Genomic DNA, 25,424 nt, shown 5'->3' on the forward strand with positions numbered 1-25,424 from the left:
CATCAGCATTACCACAAGCCCATGAGTAATGAATGCTACAACATTATGATGTCACTAGGCGATAGGAAGTTTTCAGCTTCCTTAGAATTTACGGGACCACTCCCATTTTATATGCAGTCTGTTGTTGACTGAAACATAGCTATGCATCACACGGCTCTACATTTTACCTTTACTGTCCTCTACATTGTTTGCTTACCCAAGCCATGCTATTTTTTCATTTCATTATAGATGTGAGCAGAGACCGCGTTCTCCTTGTCATACAGAATGGGGCATTATATTTACATATTTCAGAGATAATGTATGTGAGAGAGAAAATATACTGTTTTCTCATCCATCTTGTGATTTCACAAAATTACTTTGTGTAAGATTACGTTAAATTGGGCGACAACCCTATTAGGTGTAAAATTAAAATACATTTCTATTTTATGTCTGTGACTAGGAAAACATTTGTGAAGATTTTAAGTTAAAGTTTGTCATTGGACCTCTTGTTTTTCTACTGTTAAAGATTAGGACTGTGGACCAGGCGCTGTGTCTCACGCCTGTAATCCCAGCACTTTTTGGGCGGCTGAGGCAGGCGGATCACGAGGTCAGGAGATAGAGACCATCCTGGCTAACATGGTGAAACTCCGTCTCTATTAAAAATACAAAAAATTAGCCGGGCGTGGTGGCGGGCGCCTGTAGTCCCAGCTACTCGGGAGGCTGAGGCAGGAGAATGGCTTGAACCCGGGAGGCGGAGCTTGCAGTGAGCCGAGATCGCGCCACTGCACTCCAGGCAGGGTGACACAGCGAGACTCCGTCTCAACAACAACAACAACAGAAAGATTAGGAGTGGTTAATTGGTCATAAATGAACATTGATTTACAAAAGGAAATAAACAGAGGAAGAAAGTAGAGAGCCTTATATTAGAAACAGCTTTGGCAGTGGGAGCAACAGCTGCAGTAAGGATTATTGGGTAATACACGACACAGGCAGCCTAAATTCCCAAGAGAGTTCTCACAACAGACTGTCTTTTGTTTCTGGAAGTGCCTGGAAATGCGCTGAGGGCAGGAGAAGAGAGAGGTAAACTATCCAGACACACAAGAGTGATGTTAGGTCAGAATCCCCGGCCATTTGTATTGCACAATTTCAGAAAATAAAACCTCACAGGTGTGGGCATACCAGGACACCCTGTCTGCTAAGAGTAAATAACTGCTCCTTCTTACCCCAGGGTCTCCACAGTTGACCGTCCTGGAGGAGAAGAGGTTAACTGCTCTAAGAGATGTGGCTGACCCTATCCTACAGGCTTGTCTGAAAACCTTTCCGGTGTATTGAGGACCTTATAAATCCCAAAGTATCCTTGGAACTTCTTTTGCAGTTTCCTGAATTGAGCAAGTTTGGATTTCTATGAGAATTGACATGCAATTACAAATGGATGAATTTATAAGGAAAATGCAAAGATAAAGAAGGAAAGCTACCTGCATAGTATATATTTATCTACACTGCATGTTAGTATAATCTGTGAATATTTCTGTATGTGACCCAATACTTACCATAAAATTAGAGAAGCAAATGAACAAATTAATGATTGTATTAATGCTAAAATATATAATTTTTCTATTTTGTCATTTAAACAATAAAACAGCTCATTCTGATTTATTTATCAATAATAAGTACCTGTGTGTATAGCTTATTATTACCAGTGGAGAGGTGGCTTATAATAAAATTATAACAATTTATAAAGCTATAGTTAACTATGTAGAAAAGAATGGTTTAAGCTCAATAAAAATCCAGTTTAATTACTGCCTCAGCATTGTAATAGTAAGCAACAAATGCACTCTAGTGGGTGCATATAGCAATTTAAAAAGCTATTCAATCTATATAAAACCAGGTTTTTCGTTTGTCTTGTTTTAAATATTTACAAGTATTATTAAAACACATTAGAAACTTTATTCTTAGAGCAATATCCTTGTATGGCTCTTCATTCATATTCATCCATACCTTATAGAATCAACAATTCTATTTTTCCTAAATCATTTCATAGGCAAAACAAACTGGCTTGTCTATTCAAATAAAACAAGGATAAACAAGAAAGGGAGAAGGGTAGAAGGAATATATTGCAACTGATACAGAAATGAGCTTAAGTTTTAAGCCTGGACTCTCTTTAAATTCATGGTCATTGTATTAGTTTGTTTTCACACTGCTGATAAAGACATACCTGAGACTAAGTAATTTATAAAGAAAAAGAGGTTTAATGGACTCACAGTTCCATGTGACTGGGAAGCCTCACAATCATAGTGGAGGCCAAAAGGCATGTCTACATAGGGGCAGGTAAGAGAGAATGAGAGCCAAGAGAAAAGGGAAACTCTTTATAAAACCATCAGATCTCGTGAGACTTACTCACTACTATGAAAACAGTATGGGGGGAACCCATAATTCAATTATCTCCCACTGGGTCCCTCCCACAACACTTGGGAATCATGCGAGCTACAATTCAAGATGAAATTTAGGTGGGGACACAGCCAAACCATATCAATCACTAACCTCAAGAGTACCCTTCATTCTACTTAGCAAATGTGCCTCTTTTTTTTCCACATTCCCATATTCTTTGGAAATTTCATACTTCGTCTTTTTCATAAACCTTCAGCATCTTTCCCCAACATCTTTGCATTTAACTTTCTGTCATTTCCTCTTCTCCATGTAAAATGAAGTTCTTAGAAAATAGATTTCATAAACTCTCATCATCACAACTCTTGACTACTCCACATTTCCCAGCACTTGCATCTATGTATTCTACCTGCCTCCCTAAAATTTCTTATAGACCTATGCTTCCCAATACAATAGCTGCTGTCCACATGCGGCTGTGGAGCATAGGAAGTGAATGAGGCTAGTTCAAAGTGAGACGTGCTGTCAGGTAAAACTCACATTAGATTCACAGAGAGTATAAAAATTAAATGTAAAATATCTCATTCAATTTGTTATATTAAGAAGCTATCCTTCAAAAATGAAGCAGAAATAAAATCTTTCCCACACAAATAGAAACCAAGGTAATTCATCACCACTAGATCAGCCCTACAAGAAATGCTTAAGGGAGTCCTACATCTGGCAGCAAAAGGACAATATCTATCTTCATAAAACACGGACAAATAGAAAACTCACTGGCACAGAAGAAACAAAAGAATAACATTTTGGATATATTGGGTTAAATCACATATTAGAGTGAATTCCACATGCTTCTTTTACCTTTTTTTTTTTTTTAGTGCAGCTGTTAGAAAATTTAAAATGACCTACGCTGTTCATATTATAATTCTATTAGGCAACATTTCTATTAGAACTCTCCAAACTTCCATCTTAAGCCAATCTCTCCAATTTCGTAGATTTTTTAAAAGCAGACTTTAGTTAGGAACATTGTTCTAGCACATTTCCTATCTCCTACATTGCCAGTTTGTTTTCTCTCCCACATCTTTTCCGATTGTATGTAGATATGATGTTATTCTCCAGGTTTTAAAAAGACATTCACGTAATTCTTCTTCCCAATGAGTATCCCATTTCTCCAGTTTCCTTTTTAGTAAAACTTTTCAAGAGTGTCCCAAATTCTTAGTGTTTGCATTCTCCTTTTCTCATTCTTTCTTAAACTTACTTTTATTTGGCTTTTGCCCTCTCCTTGTCATCCTCTGCTTCTCAACAACAAAAAACCTCAATGACAACAAGCTGTTTTTCTTATGGTCACTATTGACTCTCATATGGTGTAAATTTAGTGGTCAATTTTAGGCAGTCATCTTTCTGGACCTACCATCAGTTTTGGCAGAGGTATCTCTCCTTCTTGACATCGTTCCTTATTGAGCTTCCAAAACACCACATACTCTTGGCTTCCCTTCAACGTTCTGCTGTTACTCCTTCTCAGTCTCTGTTTCTGGAATATTCTTTTCCCCCTGAGCACTTATGTTTTACATATTCTCTTTTAGTCTTTTCTTTATGCATATTTCTTGGTGATCTCATAAAACCCCAAGAATTCTCAACTTTTATCTTCTGCCAGACCTCTGCAAGAACTCCAGACTAATATATACAAATGCCTGTTAAATATCTCTTTTTATGTTTCTAATTTGCCAATCAAACTTAGCCCTTCTAAAACTGATATTCTGACCTCCCTGACTCCAAAACTGCTCCAGTGGCAGTTTCTTCGTCATCTCAGCTGATAAAAACTCTTTTCCTATTGCTGAGACTAAAAATCTCTGTGGAGTCAATTTTAAGCCTCTGGGTCTCCTCTTACTGATCATATTCTATTGGGCACCAAAACTTGTCTTTCATTTCGAAACTCAATACAAATTCCAGCCATTTCCCATCACCACCATTTCTACCACTGGGAATGTACCTCACTGGCCCCAATTCTTACACAGCTCTTTAACTGTGCTCTCTGGTTCTACGCTTGCTCACTGTATCGTGTTCGTAGCATAGAAAGTGGAGTGATCCTTTTAGGACACAAATTAGATCATGCCTAACTTCTACTTAAAGCCCTGCAATGGTTCTCCATCACACCATAATAAAAGCCCAAGTGTTTGCAATGGTGTGGCTGTGAAACCCACATCATCTCTTTTCCTCCAGCACTCTCCTGCCGTTTTCTTTTACTCATTTTATACTAACCTTTCTTTGTTCTAAGTTGGCTGAAGCTACACTGGTTTCCTCTTTGTTCTTGGAAAAAAAAAAGTTCACGCTTTAAAAGTAGGCACTGGTCGTTTGCTCTCCCTGAAAAGTTTCTCCTCTGGATGTAACATAAGAATAACGTTGTTACCTACTACTAGTCTTTGTTCAAGTGTCAACTTCCTGATAAGTACCCTGAGACAATTAATCAGAATCCCTTTGCCATTCCCATGTCTTTGTCCCATCCCATTGTAATAAACTATTCTTTAGTTAAAATATGGAAAACTTGATCTTTCAAAATTCAAATATGTGCATTAAAACATTTAGATTAATCATTCGCCCACTCCCCACTTTTCTGTGATGAGTAACAAGATTTCCTCTTTGCTTGACTGCCAACTTTCTCCAAGGAATCTAGAATAAATAATGAATATTTTCAGTCATAATGTTTATTTGAACTTCTCAGGGAAAAACCTGAGGTATGGGAGAAAAGGGGAAAGAAAAATTGCGTATTTAATTAACAATGGCATGTGAAGAGAGAATGAAGACTGATTACACTGTAGAAAGCCTTCTATTGGATTTTGTACTTTTTTCTGTTGCCTGAAATGCCAGAAGCAAAATCTGTATCTTCCTGGTGGATGCTGCACTAAATACTGAGGTGCAGACACTTGTGGACACAGAGGCTCAGGCCAAAATCACAGAGGATTTTATTTCCTTGTTACTTAAAAAAAAAAAAAAAAAAAAAGAATGTTTTTGAATACACAGTATCCCTAATAGTACAGGCTATTGTTTTTTCTTTAACTAACTATTATTATTACTATTATTATTACTATTTGGAGACAGTGTCTAGCTTTGTTGCCCAGGCTGGAGAGCAGTGGCACAGTCAGAGCTCACTGCAGCATCAGACTCCTGAGCTCAAGTGATTCTCCCATCTTAGCCTCCAGAATAACTGAGACTTACAGGTGTACCCACTGTGCCTGGACTGATGGTTTTTATAGAGTCAATTTTATTCTCATTAGGTTAAGGAAGTCACTAAAAGAAAATATTTTAAAAATACAAATGAGAAGAGAAGAGACTGAATCAGGAAGCATTATTCATTTTGTCTGTGATTAGCAGAAGTAACCTTTGGAGTATGTTGTGTTTCCTTAGTGAAACACAATTATTTCACCTATAAATAACACTCATAACTTGACTTTTTACCCCCTTTTTGTCCCATTGATTCTTATCTTCTGTTGCTCATATTGTTGGTTTGTGGTTTGTTTCTTTTGGTAATGTTTGATCTCTTTTCAAGTCTATAGTAAAAGTGAATTAAGTATCATTCAGAGATTTTCTTGAATCAAGGACAAGGTAAGAGTAATTTTTATATAACTTCATTAAATTAAGTGCACTAGAAGTACTGGGATCTTTAGGGAACTATAATGTTTGACCAGATCAAAGACTATACCAAAGGCATGCTCTTAAAATTGTCTAAATCTAAACACAGTGGGCTGGCTTTTTATGGAATTATTAACTATTTTAAAAAGTTGGCTATGCTAGCTCTTCCTATACTAGAATAATTTTTAAAAACCACAAAATGGTAGACCTAGTTTATTCTATATAATTTGATCATTTCTGCTGGTTATCTGAACTTTTTCAGATAAGGCTTCTACCATCTCCAATCTCATAGGTACATTCTGCATATACTTAGTATTTTTTCTAATCATTTTATGGACCAATGTGAATATATAAAATAGGATTTCAGATACACGGTGGCCATTGTACATCTTTCTTTGATTGCTAAGTGGAATAGGGCTCTCTCAAAATAATTTACATTGCTGTGTTTATTCCAGGAATAGCTTCAGCAGTTTTGGCGTGGATTGTCTTTAAATCTATATCACAATGTTGCTGCTACAGATAATCATAATTGAAATTAATTGTGGCCTGAAAACTATTTCTATTAAAATAATAGTCTACATCAGCAATTTCTTTGATGCATAAAACCAATAATAATTTATGTAACTACATTTATTTCAGTCTAAATGGAGATGTTTATTATTAGGCTGAACAAGGGGATATATTTGCCTGTATCATCTCACTTTTTTAGAATGAAATAAGTGGTTCTAGAAACTTTCCCTACATGGTCAAAAATGTATCAAAAATTGATATTTATCATTTTGCACTTTTATAATAATGGTTCAACTACGAAGATGCAGCTATATTGTGACCAGCAGTGAAGAGTTTTTAAAAAGATAAGATTAAAAATTTGTATACATAGGAAAGATTCATAGCAGTGCCTGCTTTTAAAGCTCTCAGGATGGCATCAAGTATCATTAATATCCCTGACAGTATTTCTTTATATATGTCATGGACAAGTATAGATTTTGATAAGCAGTCACCTTCTGGATCAATATTTTATAAGAAATTAAATACCTTTAATGATAGAAAACTACTCTGGACAGTTTCATCTTTTTGTAATGAAGTTTTTAAATTATAAAAGTAATAATTTATTGTAATTAGAAATTACAGAGTGCTAAGAAATTTAATATTTGCTAATTTCATTATTCATATTTTTCACTTTTTTGTGACAATGCAGTGCACTGCAATTTGGCATTTTATGTCAGTATATATTATGGGAGGGTTTACACATTTTTATAACATTGAGATCTTATCTTTGGAAATTTTGAGTCCAGGTTTTGTCTTGTTTACTAAATCCTTTCTGATACTGAAATCACTAGGACCGTTTTCTATTTTTTTCTAACACTTTTAAGTTTATTCTCCTAAATTGAACCCTTTAATTATTCTGGAGTATATTTCTGCACAATGCACAATACGGATTTTCTGAAATATATGCCATCTAATTTATATTTTCCAATATTATATTGTAAACATTTTCAAATTTTAAAAAAAGAATGAATTTACATACCCTCAGGGTTCTATAATTAAGATTTTATTATATTGTTTTGTCAGACACTTTTAATTTATTGATCTTTCGTCCATTAACACATTTCCTTTTTGAATAAATTTCAATGTATATTGAAGATATCAATACATTTCCCCTTGAATACTTTGCATATTATTAACTTGAATCTGCAACACGACTATAGACTATAGTTTTTATGTAAAAATTGCATACAATGAAATAAATAAATATTACATGTATTAAATGTATGTATTAATCCTAGTCCCGACTCACAGACACATCTTTAGGTCTAGTTATGTTGTTTGCTTTATCTATTGAAAACAGGTTGTTTTCTTCTTGGCTCTTTGTGTATCTCATGTTTGGTTGAAAGCCAGAAACTATTTGTAGAAGAATGCTAGGAACCAAGGTAAATGAAAATTACACAGAGAAATGGGCACACATTTTCATCTGTCAAGCAGTCAGCGTAAGGAATTCTGTCTTGTCATGAGTTGAACTAGGTTTGTGTTTTGTTTTTATCATTTTCAGTGCTCCACAGACATCAAATTCCCAGTGTTTTCTTTTTTTGTTTTTGTTTTTTGTTTTGTTTTGTTTTTCTTTGTGACCGAGTCTCGCTCTGTCACCCAGGCTGGAGTGCAGTGGTGTGATCTTGGCTCACTGCAAAGCTCCGCCTCCCGGGTTCACACCATTCTCCTGCATCAGCCTCCTGAGTAGCTGGGACTACAGGTGCCCACCACCACGCCTGGCTAATTTTTTTTGTATTTTTTATTAGAGACAGGGTTTCACCGTGTTAGCCAGGATGGTCTCCATCTCCTGACCTTGTGATCCACCTGCCTCGGCCTCCCAAAGTGCTGGGATTACAGGCATGAGCCACTGCGCCCAGCCCCCAGTGTGGTTTTAATTAAAGATGGGCTGCTCTTGCCTTGGGCTTAGAGTGATGCTTAGATCTTTCTTCTGAGTTCCTGCTTTGTCCCTAATTTTGTTCAGTCCCTGGACACTTGGTGCAAAAGTAGGGATCTTATCTTTACTCTTGATCCTTCCCCAGCAGCAAGCTTCTCTTGCTTCTTTCTCTGGGTTAGGCTGCTGAGTGGTGGTGGTGGGGATCCAATTCTACTGTTTGGACCACTAAAACTCTGCACCTGGGATTTAAAACTAGGCTTTCTCAGCAACCCCTACTCCCCAGCAGCAAACCTTTGTTCTGCATTAGCTCAGAATGTTTTGGCAGATAAAGTTTTGTATCTTTTGCTGCCAGGCAAAGCACTTTTGTTTCTACTTTCCACCAGGACAAATGGATCTTATCTCAATGGTTATATTTGAAAATAAAGGTATGAATTTTACATTACTAAAGAGAATTAAAACTAAATTTAACAGAAATTATTGCAATATTTATATTTAAGTTTCTTGAGGACACACTTAAATATTACATTTGTAATTTGCCATGTTGACTTTTAATTTATAAGAACTATATCATTGGATTAAAGATAGTTTGAAATGCTCTGCATTCAAATTCTAGTAATTCCTTATGTATATATTTCTTTCTTCTGGATCAAATATTCTTGTACAAATTTTAATTTTTAAGTAGAAAAAAATATTTGGAGTTATGACTTACCTTCCCACACGAAACTTTTAGGTGGTTATGATGATACAAAATTTACCAGGTCTTCTACCTGTGCATTGCTTTTATTTTTCTTTGGATAAGAAAAAATAATGCTCACTCTATCTTACTGGCTCATCTATCTAGAATATATGTACACAAACACACAGACACTTGTATTTTCTTCCAGAAACCAAATTCTAGAAATTTTTGAAACTATAATTTTCTTCTTCGTGCACTTTTTTTTTGCCATAAACACGTGGATAAGTTGTGGACATTAGTAACAAATCAGGTATGTCATGGCATTATGAAGTTTAAAAGTATCTGTATGAAATAAACTCTGTACCTCATTGACTCAATTCAGATATTTCTTCGTTAATTAACTGAAAAGCTCTACCCAAATCATACAGCCATAAAGCCTCTCTTTTCATCTTTCACCATCATGAAATACTAAATTTCCTTCTCTACTACCAGAAATCCAGTGTTTATTAGTAATAAAGCTAAGACTCAGAAGCTAAGGTATTTTTCCAGCAAACCTTAGGGACCCTTTCTCTAGTATTCCAGATGCACATTACAAACAGTAGGAAAGGTAGGAAGTCTTTCTAAAAAATTTTCCATGTGGGATCTTGAAGACAGAATTATTTACTGCCCAGGCTTTAGTTCATTGTTTCATCATTCTTTTTTTGAATAACATTTCATACCTTATGCTTTTTCTTGTTTTATTTTTGTTATGTGCTCAGAATGGCAAACCTGAGGTCAGAAGCAGTCTATAGCTTGACAGAGGATGTTTTGGTCAGAAGCAGGCTCCAGTGTGACAGTGGGTGTCTCTGGTAGCTGAAAGACAAGACATTAATTAATACCTGACAAGGTTTGCAGGCAGTTGGGAAACCCTCCTGATGAAGAGCTTCTTGTTCTGCTTCAAGCAGCCACCATGTACATGGCCAATCTTGTGTGTGGAAAAGGCTCTCAAGACTGTTAGTCACCATGTGCCCACTACATAACAGGAAGAGAGAGCTTGATTTTAAGCAGTGTTAGGATGCTAGACTAAAAGCCAGTCTGCTAGATTTCCATACGTGCACTTAGTCAAGTTCCAGCCCTTTCTAGAAGATTGGCTGCTAAGATTACTGCCTTACCCTTGTGGAACAGTCTCAGGCTAGGAACAGCAAGGATAAGTCCTCAGATGTTATGGGACATTTTCCTAATTCAATTGGCATGCCCTAAGGAATTCCATAACATAAAAACAACCTATCTCAAAGAAGTTCAAAGCTTTGAGAATTTGAACCCACCAACATGTAATGTTATTTAAAAAATTTTAAATATTAGAAGCAATAAAGTTTTCACATATGAGATCATCTAAAATCTCAGTAAAACCAGGCTGTTTCCTTACTCTTGAACACCTTACCCACTGTTCTAAGATTTTAATTAGTAACAATATCGTTGGTTATTCTAATGACATTTATAAATGGTTAAAATAAACTAATATCAGTCATGAATACTTAAAACAGAACAAAACAGACAACACTGTCAAGTTTTATAAAATATTAATTACCTGCAAAGCTGTTATTAATGCTACTAGTGTCAAACAAATACAATTTGGAGGAAAAAAGTAATACATGTCACTTTATTACCAGAATCCTCACTGCTTCCTTAAAAAAGAAACATTATATTCTATGTTCAGGCTCTTGAAATAAATACACCAAAAGTCATAGATATATTGTTATTTTATGGATATTAATTTTAATGTAGATGATATTATAAATTTATTTCCTATTATACATAGCTGATGAGTAACTTTATTGGTTATTTAAAATACAAGTTGTCTCATTTATTTACACAGCAGCTAGAAGTTTCACTATTTAAACTCCCAGCTTAATTTTTAGGTATGGTTGCAGTCATAAAAATAAGTAAATTTTATACATACCATACACAAGATTAGGTTTACATTTTCTGTTTGCACAGTTACCTAAGCCTTTTTATTTTTAGAATGTGTCACAACTACATCAAGGAGATGCTTCCAGATCAAAAACCCTGAAAATAAAAACTTTGCCTTTTCTGGTTTAATGTAAGAGCCAGGTATTAACTTTAGATGTAAACAATCCACTACTGAAAGTTACTTAAGTACACTAGCCAGACAACAACATCACCATCTAGGTGATAAGTTGATATCACCAATGAAAATTTGGCTGTTATAATTCTCAACACAACATTATCAGATAAAGCTACACAAAATCTGAGCTGGATACAAATCCCTCCCTTCTTGAGAAGCTGAGATTTGAAAGTTGTTTTCATGACTACATCACAGATAATTGACTAATTGCATTCTACAGTCAAAACATGCTGACTTGAAAGTATACTAACAAAAAAAGTTCAACAAGTTTTCCAAGCTAACGTAGATTCAAAATTGATTTAACTCTTTTGTTAATTGGTCACATTTTATTTTGTTAATATATTTGTCTTCCAATGGTATATTTTTAAAGCTAAATTAGTACTTTCGGTAATATTCAAAACCTAAGCCCAAACTACATTTAATGAGAAGATATTTTTAATTTCAAATGTTACAATGCGTTTCTACTTACAATAGTTTATTTAAATTGCGTCTTTAGACTAGTGGTGTTATCAATAGTATCTCTCTACTTTTGCTCTAAGGTATTGGTTCCAATGGAGAGGAACAATGCAAAATAATCATTCATATTCTGACTTGGATCAAGAATAGTTTTTGTCTTTAATGTCATCAAATAGAAACTTTATTACCTTTCCTTTTCTTATTAAATAGTTCTTTAAAAGAAATTTCCACCGACTAGTTAAACATATTTATATTTATGTACTGGTTAATTACTGCTTATCTGAAATGCATAGATCAAAAGTGTTTCTGATTTCAGATTTTTTTTATTTTTGGAATACTTGCAACATGCATAATGAGATATGTTGGAAATGGAACTAAAGATGAAACAAAATTCATGCATGCTTCATATACACCTCATACCCATAGACTGAAGGAAATTTTGTGCAATATTATACATTATAGAGTGTACTTACACAAACCTGGATAGTATAGCCTACTACAAACCCAGGCTATGTGATGTAATCTATTGCCCCTACACTACAGACCTGTATAATATGTTACTGTACTGAATAGTGTAGGCAGTTGTAACATAATGGTATTTATGTATCTAAACATTTAAACATATAAAAAAGATACAGTAAAAATAAGATACTATAATGTGGGAACACTGTCATATATGAAGCCTGTCATTAACTAAAGCACTATGTGGTATGTGTATTCCTTTGTGATTTGTATTTTCCCACTAACAAGTATTAGGTTTTCAACATCGCTTTTAGTTCTTTGAAATGTCAGCTAAATTTATCTAGGCGTCACTTTATTTTATTTTGTTATTTTTATATGTCCCTTTAGGGATTCATTGTACTTTCAAAATATATAGTTTCTAAACTGTCTAGCTCTAGAAAATTCTCAGGTATTTTTAAGTTTAACCTCTTAAACTCGCTTCCATTTTTTCCATTCCTTCTACTCTCAGTAATGTTTTCTGAATAACTAACTGGTGTTTTTTTTTTTCTTTAGTAATTTTCTTTTCAGCTTTTAAAATATACTTTGTCTCATCCATGAATTGAAAAATTTTAGGTTTTATAATTTACCCTTCTATACTTTTATAAAGTTTCATTTATTCAAATATGTTTATTAGTGTTTATAGTATCTACTTCCGTACTTATACTTTCAGTTTCATCTTATTTTCTTAATGTTCTTACAGATATTTATTTATTTTATATTACATAATTAATAATATCAATGTCTTTATTTTTCTAATTGTTCTGCTTACTTTTGTTTGGATTTTTGTTAATGGGCTTTATTATTTCATGTGTCTTGTAATTTTATGTTTTGGGTATGTTCATTTGAGATTCATGTTTAAAATTATTTGGGGAATATAGATATGAGGCATTTTCTTTGAAATGGAGACAAAAAGAAAAGTCCTATTTTCTTCTGTAGTATACAAAACAAATCTCAGTAAGTGCATTTTTAGTTTTTGTTTGTTTGTCTTAAATTCTGTGGTTAGTGAATCATCTGGGTCCAAACCTATATAAAAGGTAGTTCATGGTCACCCATACTCAGAGGAGACCCCCTCCTCTGTCTAGTACCAAGACCAGGTCAGATGAAATCTCTTTTTATTTAAGTGTCTACCGGCGAGTTTGTGTTGGGGGTATAAATGGGGGTGTTTGAGTGTTTATAGTTCACCCATACTGTGCGCTGAGTCTCTTCATGAAGACTTTGATCTGACATCCCTGATTGAGGTTCTTTAACATTTTTGACGTGGTTACAGAGAACAACCTTGGCAAATTCCTCCAAGGCAATAGTCAACTTTATCTTGCTTTTTCTTGATTTACACGCCTCACTGTTGCTTATTTACTTACTTATTATAGTTCTACCTTTGATTATTATCCATAATTTGTTGGACACTCCACCATTCCTTAATGAGATTTTGAATTATGTAAATATATGTATTTTTTTCTAAATTTTTGGTTATTTTTCTTTTTTAATTAAAGCCAATAATTTGTCCATATATGTAAATAAACTCATGAATCATGTAATGTATCATGTCTTTATACCCCAGAGTTTGCTATGATAGTGCATTATACAGTTCATCCCATCTTGTTTGTTTCAGAGCTTTTTTCAACAAACCTGTTGCTTATTACAAATAAATTAGCAATGTGGCCTGGCCAATTTCCTTTTACAATAATTTTCATAGAAATATAATAGATTTCTTCATTATTAGGATTTCCAAATTTTTAAGTTAAGGAATAGCTATAACTATAATTTCAAACATATGTAATCTTAATCAAAATATATTGTATGAAAATGTGAAAACCAGACTTTCACCACTATGTAATACATCCATATGACAAAACTGCACTGGTACCCCCTAAATGTATATACGTATAGAATAGAAAAGAAAACAACCTAAATTCCTTACCTTGAGCCTTATGATAATATTGCAACACAGGAACAACTCAAAGGTGGGAATTCTGTGGAGGGAAGAAATATAAAGGTTTTATAAAATAGGCTGAGGAATACAGTCAATTTTAAATTTTGTTCTAAGAATCATTCACTGAATTCTTGGAAGCTGTGGAAAAACTTGGGTTACCATAGACATGAAGCAGATTGTCGTGGGAAGCAAAGACTGTAGTCACAGTTGGGCAACCGTTGCCCAGGCAATTTGGGTTTAGCCAGACGGGTGGTGTTATGGACTGAACTGTGTCCCCGCCAAATTATTATATCAAAGCTCTAAAACCAAATATATTTGGAGATAAAGTCTTTAAGGACATAAATAAAGCAAAATCAGGTCATAGGGGTGGGACCAGAATCCACTAGAACTGGAGTCCTTATAAAGAGAAGAGGACACAAAAGCACTTTCTCCATGCCCAGAGAAAAGGCCACATGAGGATGCAGCAAGAAAGTAAGCCAGGAAAGAAGTCCCCATCAGAAGTCATCCAGGTTGATGCCTGGATGCTGGACTTTTAGCCTCCAGAACTGTGAGAAAATACATTTTTGTTGTTTAAGACATTAGTCTGTGGTATTTTGTCAGGGCAGCATGAGAAGACTAACATAGGGAAAGAAGGATGATCATGAGCTAAAGTCCTACTAGGATTAGTAAAAACTAGTCTTTCATCCATCTTTCATAATGATATGTATGGTTCTAACGATGTTCTGCAATAACATATACTTTCTTGAATTATAGGCAACGATGAATATGTCCAAGCTGGATGTGGGGATGGAAATGCAAATTAACGTCTTTGAGACTTGGAACAGCAATCTCTGTCTCCTGTCCATGCTATCTGGAACATTGTCATGGTAACTAATGAATGTACCCCCTTTTGGTAGACAATTGATCTGTTTGCCTTTTGGAAGTACTTGTTAGGAGAAGAGAGTAATTTGAAATATGAGAAGGGAACACAAATGAAAGAAAAGTTTCTGTTGAGGAGATAAAACTTGACTAATTATACTTTAAAAATATAATTTAGTAGAGTTGAAGTATCATTATTCTAAACCAATTTATAGTAAGTATGTTTTCAAATTATAGGATAAAGTATTTCAAAGGCAAAATTTTAACATTATTTTATTTAAGTACTCTAAGCACCTGTGAGATTAAAGAGTTCTGTAGACCATGATTTAAAAGATCAAATCTACAGATAATTGTGTCAACTCTAATTAGTAAATTTAGAAATACAGCGGTGTGAAGAGTCTTTCTTATTTTGTTCTATGAATTACCAGAAATCTCTGTCTCCTTTATGATAAACCTGAATGGAATTAATTTCAAAGTGCATGTATGTGTTTAATTTACTAAACAAGATAAATTAAATAACAGGCTTTTTCAAGGAGATTGGATACCTCAGATTTGATAAAAATCAGAAATTTAAAAAGGAAAGCAGCAATGAAATACTCATAAAATTCAACACTGGAAGATATTGAACATTATTCTCAAAGTATTATATTCCTTTACCCACGTTCTTTCAATTTAAGTTTTTACTTTAATCTCTTTTGCCTTTTGTTTTTAAAGTGATGCTTTTATTTATCTACTTATGCTATGAAATTGTCTACATGGATATTTTTGTGCTCAGAATTTTAAAATAATGCATTTATTCAAATTTGTCTAACTCTGTTTTTTGATCCAAGTCTTATTTACTTCAAAGGAAATTCACCTTTTAAAGAACATCACTTTGAAAACTCTTTAAATGCTTTCCCTTGTTTGGGGGTTGTGGGAGGTGAATATGAGTACTGCATTTTCCTCTCCCTCTAAGCTTAACCTTGGTAAGCCTTGACTCAGTACCAGATAAATTAACTCCATATAAAACACCACCTAGTACTATATTTCTAAAATTTAATAAAGGCTTCTACTTGAGACATTATTTTATTTTTAGAAAATTTGGATTGAGTGTTTTTGAGGCTGAATATATATATATATATATTAACAGCACTTCATAGATTCACTATAGTCACTCCTTCTTATGGATGGGACTGAGAAGATAATGTATCTTCCAGAACCGGAAAAGGTAACGTGGGCACCAGGAGTACATACCTTCTATATTACACTGATGATACAATATGGAAATCCAGTGTTGTCACAACAATCTACATTTTGAGTATTTAAGCAATACATTGGTTTGCACTCCAGCTGCTTTAGATTTTGACATGTCTTAGCTGGCATCGTGTGTGTGTGTGTGTGTGTGTGTGTGTGTGTGTGTGTGTGTGTGTGTGTATGTGAGCATGTGTATGAAAATGTCGATTATATAAAACATATCTTTGGGGTTGTGTATTTTGGTTGTTGTGTTGTTTTAATTCCATTCATTTTGGTCATGTGTGCATAACTGTATCTATTTGATGGTGGGGTTGTTTGAAAATGTTCCTTAGGAGGATGTAGGATGTGATATATAATCTTCAATACCTGTTAAATATCCATGGCCTTGAATCTCCAGTAAGTTCATCTGCCTTTTATATCTTTGCTTTCTTCTTGTAATATGTGAACCAACTGCAATACCTCCTCCTGCTTGATTCTCGGAAATAAACTATTCTTTTGCAAAGCATTTAGCCTCTTTTAAAAAGCATTAAAACATAGCTTCCTGATAACTCTATTGCTGCCTTTCTCATCTTGATTATGGATCATTTTGATGTGATGTTAGTATGTTACAAAAGAGAAGATTGTTTTCTTTACCATAAGGTACTAATTGCTAGAAGACACTTTACAAGTGATAGGTAGCTATGTGGTGGAGGAGGCAGTTGCTTTCAAAGGACCTGTGCATCATACATTTTAAGACTTGGCACTTGAGTATTATTTTCTAGATTAAAAAATTACACATTTGATGATGATGCTCTTTCACAAGTACCGACATCTTTTAAGAAAAGACAAATTATAAGACAAGTCTGCAGCAGCAAATGAGTCAAATGAAGCTAACCTAATTAGCACTAATAGGACAGTAAATTTTATTATACTATTTATTGACTCCTTGCATTTACTAAAAATGATAACCAGGCTTCAGCCATGTTATACAGCATCGAGTCTGTAGTACATCTCTAAATCTGTACTGCAATAAAGCAGACTATCAGCATTATTTGGTGAAATAACGTATTACCCCTAGATTAGTCAGCCACTGTGGTATAGAAAAGAGAAAAAAAGCTTCAGGTAATTAAAGAAATTGTAAGTACTTGACATTTTACATCAAAGTTCTTTTGTCACAATTGAGATGTTCCTACAAAATGTAATACATATTTTATCACATTTTACTTTAAAATGAATTTTTATTAGTTTTATGAGATTAACATGTGAAAAAGCATTTTATCAAAATTTCATGGGTTCTGATTGAGAGATTATACTTATACAGCCCTCATGGTTTTAAACCTTTTGAAGAAAATTAACCAAAATCTTGGTTAATATTTTTCACTGTTATTAAACTGATTTGCTTGGGCCGTGTGTGTGTGTATCTGTGTGTATAAAACTTTGTTAGCAATAATAGAAATATGATAGATGTAATTAAATACAATATTAAAATCTATATATTTGTGATTCTGGAAAGAGAGCAGATCCTCTCTGTCTGATTCAAAAACCAATTATCATACTCAATTAAAATGTTTGTCCACTTGCAGATTGATTTAGAAAGAGAGGGACAAAGAGGCATAGTGAAAGGGAGAGAAAAAAGAAAAGAGAGAAAAGAAGGGAAAGTAGAAGAATAAGACAGAGAGAGGGCAAGAGAAGAGGTCCCTTTTTCTTGCTAGGAGTGTTTGCTGGGAACCAGGACTGGGGAAGCTATACTTGCTCACTTCCACCACTCGTCCTGTCACTGCTTTCTTTGTGACCTTGATTTAGGAACTTAATTTTATGCATCTCATGTGTAGAACAGAAATGTTAACAATTACTTAATATTTGATCACTGTGATATTTTATTATGCTAAGATAGTAAATGCTACTTAAAGGTCATCATTATTAGGGGCATTATTCTCTATCATGTTGCTGTTGGGAGGATTTGGTGAGTTAACATGTATCAAACGCTAAATGTCTCAGTCAGTTCAAGCTGCTATAACAAACATACCTTAGACTGGCTGGCTTGAACAACATTTACTTCTCATAGTTCTGGAGGGAGTAGCAGATCTGGTGTCTAAAGGGAGTTTGCTTCTTGACTTATAGATGGCCATCTTCTGGTGGTGTCAGGTGGCAGAGAACAGACACAGAGAGGCAAATCTCTCCAGTCTCTTCTTAGAAAAGCACTAATCTCATTCATGAGGGCTCTGCCCTAATGACTTAATCTCCTCCCAAAGTCCCCATGTCCAAATACCAACCCCTTGGGAATTCCAAGATGTTGACTGAATGCTGATAAGCTAATGTGTTTGCAACATTTTTCTATAACACAACTCTCTGGTGTTATTTTATAATTTTGTAATTAAAATAGGAAAAACACTTTTTAATTTAATATTTTAAAAATTCATTTGCAAGAGAAAACACATTTCATTAGTTGCTGCCATATAAATTTCTGATTCAGTAAACAAGAGCAAATTGTACACACCACATATGACGTACTAGCTATGTAATAGTTTCACAATTGTGACACGAAAATATTAAGTGCATATGCTTTTAAAAAAATTGGATTCACAGAATTTCCCTCCTCAAACATCAATACACACTTTAAAAAAGTTGTCAGTGGAAATAAATCACAACCATAGAAGACCAGAATGCTTCAACTATATCCATTTTAATTATGCCAGTATTCGTGGGAGAAAACAAATCTTTCCCTCAGCAATGTTATTTTACTTCAGCAGTGACAAAAATTTTGTCATAGAAGAAAGACAGTACTACTTTTCCTTTTATATGCTAAACAATAGCTCTGACACATTTTTTGAAAGTTGGTGGTGTTGCCAGTCTCAGAATTTATATGATTCATTTAGGTTCTGATTAAAATACATACAAAGAAATAAAGAATACAATAAGACTGAAATTTATACTTAGTGACAAATTTATATGGAAGTAAAATCTATTGTAAGGAAGATAAAGAGTGACCTTCTCTGGGGAAACAAACAACACTTACTTCCAGCTTCATTCTTTTGTTATTAGGTGCCAAGCAGCGTATGTAATAAAATTGTTTTAAGAATTATTTGGAGGCCTAGGACAACATTAACTTCTTTCAGAGGAGATTTGCATTTACTTCTGCCAGGCACCTCTCAGAGACCCTAGCAGTCTGTGGTCTCCTACCCCAATTTCAGAGACTGAGATTGGAGGTTGGAAGTAGGGTTGCTTCACCCTTATTTCTGAGGTACAGCTTTTCAGGGCTCCTTGCTAAATTCAGGCAGTTTAGCAGAGCCCCAAACTCGTTGGCTGTTAATTTCAACTTTTATCCTTTTCTTCTCACAAAACCCTCAAACATCCTGCTCATATTCATTGAGTGTCAGACACCTCTTTCAGAATTGAAAAGAAGAATCCTCTTTGAATTTCCGTCTCCTACCAAGATTGTGGCCTCATAAGCTTCAGAGCCTTGTAAGGCCCCAGTCCGGTTTATGCTTTGTCTATGGTTCTTAGTAGGAGGGTTGCTCTGGATTTTCTAGTTCACTTTAAGGGGACAAATATTCCATATTTTCTATAATTTTAAATAATTTTCCATTCCTAAGGCTGAATAAATTCCTTCTAAAATTTTGAATCTGTGAGTGAAGGTCTGGCAAGTCAAGGTTACCCACATCAAATCAGCAAAGAAAACCAAACTTTTGTGCTTTTAAAATTCATTATACTTGCTTGATAAGCATTCTGATTCTAATAACAATAACTGGAATAACATTAGACAATGAAAAATAATCACCAGGCAAGATCATTTCATGACAAGAAAAGTATTAACTTGGGAGAAAACAGTAATTTGGGAGAAAATATTCATTCATGTGTTCATTTACTCAGTAAATTTCTATCAGTGCCTTGCGTATGGATATATACAGCACTGAGCTGGGTACTGGGGGTTTATGTGATGACAATACGGATATGGGCCCTTCCCTCCTTAGAAGGCTTGGAATCCAGTGTGTGCTGAAATGTGTTTCGTGTTCATGAGCAGTGAAGAGTCATCAGTGATTAGGTTTCTATGTTTAAAGTAAAGTAGGCCTTAGAAATCACGTAGTCATTCTGAGCAAACTATCGCAAGGACAGAAAACCAAATACTGCATGTTCTCACTCATAGGTGGGCACTGAACTATGAGAACACTTGGACACAGGGAGGGGAACATCACACACCAGGGCCTGTCATGAGGTGGAGGGATGGGGGAGGGATAGCATTAAGAGAAATACCTAATGTAAATGATGAATTAATGTGTGCAACACACCAACATGGCACATGTGTACATATGTAACAAACCTGCACGTTGTGCACATGTATCTTAGAAATTAAAGTATAATAAAAAAAAGAAATAATGTTGTCAAATTTTCTTTTCTTATTGAAAAGTGAAAACTTGCCAATTAAGCTCCACTGAATTTCCTAAGGCCTCAAAGGTAAGTTAGTGGATGAACGTAGAGTAAAACTCTTCCAACTCTCAGAAGAGTTCTTTTCGTGGTAATAAAATGGCCTCTTTCATCCTCTGGGTGCTTTGAATAATCTTCACAAATACATTTTAGACATTGGAAATAATGATACAGGCTCGGAATTCATAGACATAATGACTGAAAGGCCATTTTTGTTTATGTAATTTCAAAAATTAATTATAATTTTAAAATAAAATATTTAGACTAAGTTGGTCCACTATGTCAATCTACTATACTCATATACGATTGAACTTGAAATGGCTGGCATCAAACACGAATGAGAACTTGAAACATTGTAAGTTAAATATTACCTAAAAATCTGTTATAGTTTTTAATCAAAAGTTTATTTACTAGAAAACTCAGTTCTGCTAGCACTTTTACATTATTCTCATTGTTTTATTGATTATAATACAATCATAGTTTTATATCTGTTTTCATAACAAATTAGAGATTTATGGCACTTAAAGTCAATAAAATATTAACACATATATAGCATGCAACTAAAATGTCGTGTGTGTTTCACATTAGGTGCAATCTATGACTTTTTTTCTTCAACATTTCTTTGCTACATGACTAAGTTCTATTATCATAGTTCAAGCTAAATTCTAATTTTTCCTTTTAAATAAAGTAAAAATTTTGAACTTTTCATTACAAATGATCATTTTATAATATTTAAAGGAAATAAAACAGAGGTAATTTGCCTACAATACCAAAGGCCATTTTTTATTTTAACATTTGCAGAAGGTTGATATGCCAAATTGCACTTGACCCAAAGTTTGCTATTTTTAACAGTGAAAAAATTTCTAGTATTTTTACAGAAATTAATAATGCAACAGGGAGGAAAAAGTGAAGTCTTACAATGCCTAGAAACTATATGCCAAATATTTGGAACAATAAGTACTCTAACTCCAGCAGCAGAATTATCTTCCTGGTACATATTTAAGTGAGGAGTTGTAATGATGTGTACATTTCATTTCTTAATGTACATTCACAGTTTGCTAAACATTCAGTTTGCTAAAATATGGAAAAATAACAAACCGTTCTCATTTCTAACAAGAGAACGCAGAAGTTGCAATTTTTGTCCTGCATGCATATTCCAAGCAGCACATTAAAAAAAGGTAAGGGTCCAAAATTCACTGGCTTTTACACTAGGGTGATAGCTGCTAAGGGCATTTTAAATAGTGAGAAAGATAAATGGTCTTTGAATTATAATCCCTAGTGAAATCTGAAATAAGAAAATACAGTTTCTATTACAATAAATAAAATAGAAAACATGGTCTATGCTTCCCAGAACGCCATATTGAAAGGACAAAATGAAATAATTAGAAACTAGGACTTTAGCTCAAAATACAAAATTTATGTCGGTAGCTATCACAAACTATTCTTTTCCTTTGATGTATCAATAAGTAATTCATTCTTTGCTCACCTGCTTATGACCCTCACTTAGCTTGGAAAAAAATGTGTTTTTCTTCTAGTGACTTTATTGTGAGAAAAATAAAGGAAAATATTACAATGTTATTATGCTTGATGAAAAAAATTGAACTATGCATTATTAAGAATTATCATTTTGCAAATCTGTCATAAGCCACATGGGATTTCTAGCATCTTCATCTTTATCTGTTTGCTCTGTTTTGGCATATCCAGAAACCTGTGAGCAATTCTTAGAGACACTTTTTTCTATACATACATCAAAGTGGCAACTTTTTAATAATCCCTAAGCTAGAGAAGGCCAGATAGTATCTCCTGCCTTTGTGAAACTATAAAAAGAAAGCAGGGGATATTTTATTTCTTTTCTTAATTGCCTTCCAAAGTTCTCAAGGTAAGCAAAATAAATTATGTACACAAAAATGAAGATCCTCAAAGGTTGCTTGTTACGGTCTAGATATTTTTTTACTTTCTAACATATATTTATAGAATTGTTATACTACAGAAAGCTTTAGGTAACAATGAATAGAGCCAAGCAAAATTTTTTTTTTAAGTACAGTAATTTAGGTGGAAGTTAGTATGATAGAGTAGAAAAACATGAAGATTTTACTGGAAGAGAGATTCTTAGCTTTTGGAATGTAGGTTTCCTTTTAAAATGGAACATTGCAAACTCAAGCTACTTTGTGTATAGGATCTGCTAATTTAATTTGGCGATTATCTAAAAAAGTTGCCTCATTTTGATTGATTTTATTTATTAGCTATTAATTTCTTGTCACTAAAGAAGGTGTGTGGGTGTGTGTGTTTATGTGGAGCTAAGCATAATCAGGGGAAGGGAGGTCATTTCAAATAATGTTTTCCACCAAAAATTTATCCTGGACTCTAAATTATTTTCACACAAGGAGGGGGCAGAAGGGTGCAGCAGAAAAATAATGGACACTAGAGTCTTGAGTTTGAGTTTCACATGTAGCCACTTATAGGAAAGTAATGTAAGACAATTTACTTAGATTCTCTAAATTCTTCTTGTGAGAATATGATAAACCGTATGAAATCCCTACTCTAGTGCCTGGTACATAGATGATTGATGTTTCTCAATAAAAGTTCCAACTATTTTTCATGAATAACAAAATAGATTGTAACAAGTATGTGAGTTGTATGTTGCCCTCTGCTGCATAAGAAACCAAAAACATAGGGGCTTAAAACCATCACCACGGGTCTAGGGTTCTGTAAATCTGGGCCAGCCGTGGCTCTTTCAGCTGGTTTTTCTCATTGTCTTGTGAGCTGCTGGGTCAGCAAGGGTTGGACTGGTTAGAATGGCTATAGCTTGGAAAACTCAATTTTTGCTCCACATGATCTCTTCTCAGTAGGCCAGCACAGTCTTTTTCTCAGAGTGGAGACCAAATTCCAAGAAACTGAGGTGATGCACATCAGGCTTCATGGATCAAAATGAACAGCCAGTGATATAGACACCAGAGTGGACCTCTATAAAGATGACTGACTGAGAAGTCTGTAGGTAGCTATCAGCCTCCCCTCACTGTGAGTCTGCACACAAAGTTCTGGTGATAGGTTTGATCGTTGGTCATTATGGGCAAGAGTCAGGAATAAGAAATGGGTGTGTTATTTAATAGAGCAAGAACAAGCTGGAATTTGCTGGTTACTCTGCCTCTGCCACAAGAGCCTTTCAATGGTGTTCATATAGTGATAGCTATTTTTTACATCCTCATGCCAAATCACATGCAAAGCCTTTGAAATCAACCCTAACCCCAAATCGTACTGAGGAGGGGACTCTGGGAAACATAGCTCTACATAAACCAAATCCACTCCTTGTCAACTTTTCATCCATTCACATATATCTAAATTGTGGTTTTTCATATCTCTAAAGTAAGTACATAAAACATTAAACTTATTTGTTTTGGTGTACAGTTCTATAAACTTTACCATCTGTACAGATTTGTGTAACTATCACAAATTAAAAAACAGGATGGTTTTATCATCCTAGAAAACATCTTCATAGTTATATAATCCCCCAACCGTATACTTTCCTAACAGTGAGCCTCTGGCAAACGGGAGAATCATTTCAAGACTGAATTCCTTCACTCAGTATCATAACTTTGAGATTCAGACAACTTACTGGGTGTATCAATAACTGGTTCATTTTTATTGCTGATTCATATTCCATTTTGTATACGTCTACCAGTTGAAAACATTTTGGTTTGAAAAACATGGGCTGTTATGAACAGAGCTACTACGTAAATTGGTGTATAGGTTTCTGTTTGCACTCAACTTTTTATTTATCTAGTATAATTCTTAGAAGTAGATTGCTGGACCATACTACAGATATAGATAGAGAATTATAAGACATTGCTAACGTGATTTCCTAAGGGCTGTACCATTTCGCATTCCCACCAGCCTTGTCTGAGGTTGCCACTAGCTCTGCATTCTCTCCCGCCTTTAGTATTGGTATTATTTTAACCATTCTATTAAGTGTATAGTGATATCTCATTGGAGTTTTAATTTGCAGCTCCCCATAGTCTAATAATGCACATTTTTGTCTATTTTCTGTCTGTATACCCTATTTGATAAAGTATCTTTTCAAATTATTTGTCCATTATTAATTGTGTTTTCAATTTCCTTTTACTTAGATTTTGAGAGGTCTTTTTATATTCTGGATACAAGTCCTTTACAGATGTAATTTTAAAAGATTTATGCAGGTGTAAAAATCTGTCCTTCCATGATTTTAATAGGGTCTTTGCAAGAAAATTTTTAAAAATACAGACTCCACTTTGTCCGTTTTATAGCTTTGATCAGGTATAAGAAACTTTTGTCTCATCACAGGACAGGAAGATTTTCTCTTTAAAACTTTGATTTTATAACTTTATATTTCAGATTTGGATCTATAAAAAATTTAAGAACTTTTTGTGAAGTTTAAGATTTGTGTCAAATTTCTTTTTTTTTGTATAGTGTTGGCCAATTATTCTAACTGCTGTTGAAAAAAATCACAGTTTCTGATGATAAATCTGAGGTCATTAGAATTTTTAGGCATTTCTCTGAATTTTCAGAGTGAATATTCCCTTAAAGCATTTTTTTGTTAACTTTTATTTTACTTTCAGGAATACATGTATAGATTTGTTATATAGGTACATTGTGCATCCTGGGAGTTTGACATACAGATTATTTCTTCACCCAGGTGATAAGCATAGACTCCAATAGGTAGTTTTTTGATCTTCTCCCTCCTCCTACCCTTCACCCTCAAGTAGGCCCTGGTGTCTGTTGTTCTCTTCTTTGTGTCCATGTGTACTCAATGTTTAGCTCCTACTTATAAGTGAGAACATGTAATATTTGGTTTTCTGTTCCT

General features: G+C 34.2%; 2 long non-coding RNA genes across 2 annotated transcripts in view; one reads left to right on the forward strand and one right to left on the reverse strand.

Moving 5' to 3' along the window:
* The first annotated feature begins 923 nt into the window (after positions 1-923).
* On the forward strand, positions 924-14,906 carry LOC105374656 (uncharacterized). Its single transcript, XR_925793.2, has 3 exons — positions 924-1,059; positions 1,208-1,484; positions 14,849-14,906. It is a non-coding gene; the product is annotated as an uncharacterized LOC105374656 (long non-coding RNA).
* LOC105374655 (uncharacterized) overlaps positions 7,522-25,424 on the reverse strand; it is a 213,260-nt gene continuing 195,357 nt past the window's right edge. Inside the window, exons 4-5 of the long non-coding RNA NR_188266.1 lie at positions 14,084-14,135; positions 7,522-9,935 (exon numbers count right to left, since the gene is read on the reverse strand). This is a non-coding gene — a long non-coding RNA (uncharacterized LOC105374655). The remainder of the gene's footprint in view (positions 9,936-14,083; positions 14,136-25,424) is intronic.

The sequence above is a fragment of the Homo sapiens genome, chromosome 5 (assembly GCF_000001405.40).
Source record: "Homo sapiens chromosome 5, GRCh38.p14 Primary Assembly".
In the NCBI taxonomy this organism is placed as follows: Eukaryota; Metazoa; Chordata; class Mammalia; order Primates; family Hominidae; genus Homo; species Homo sapiens.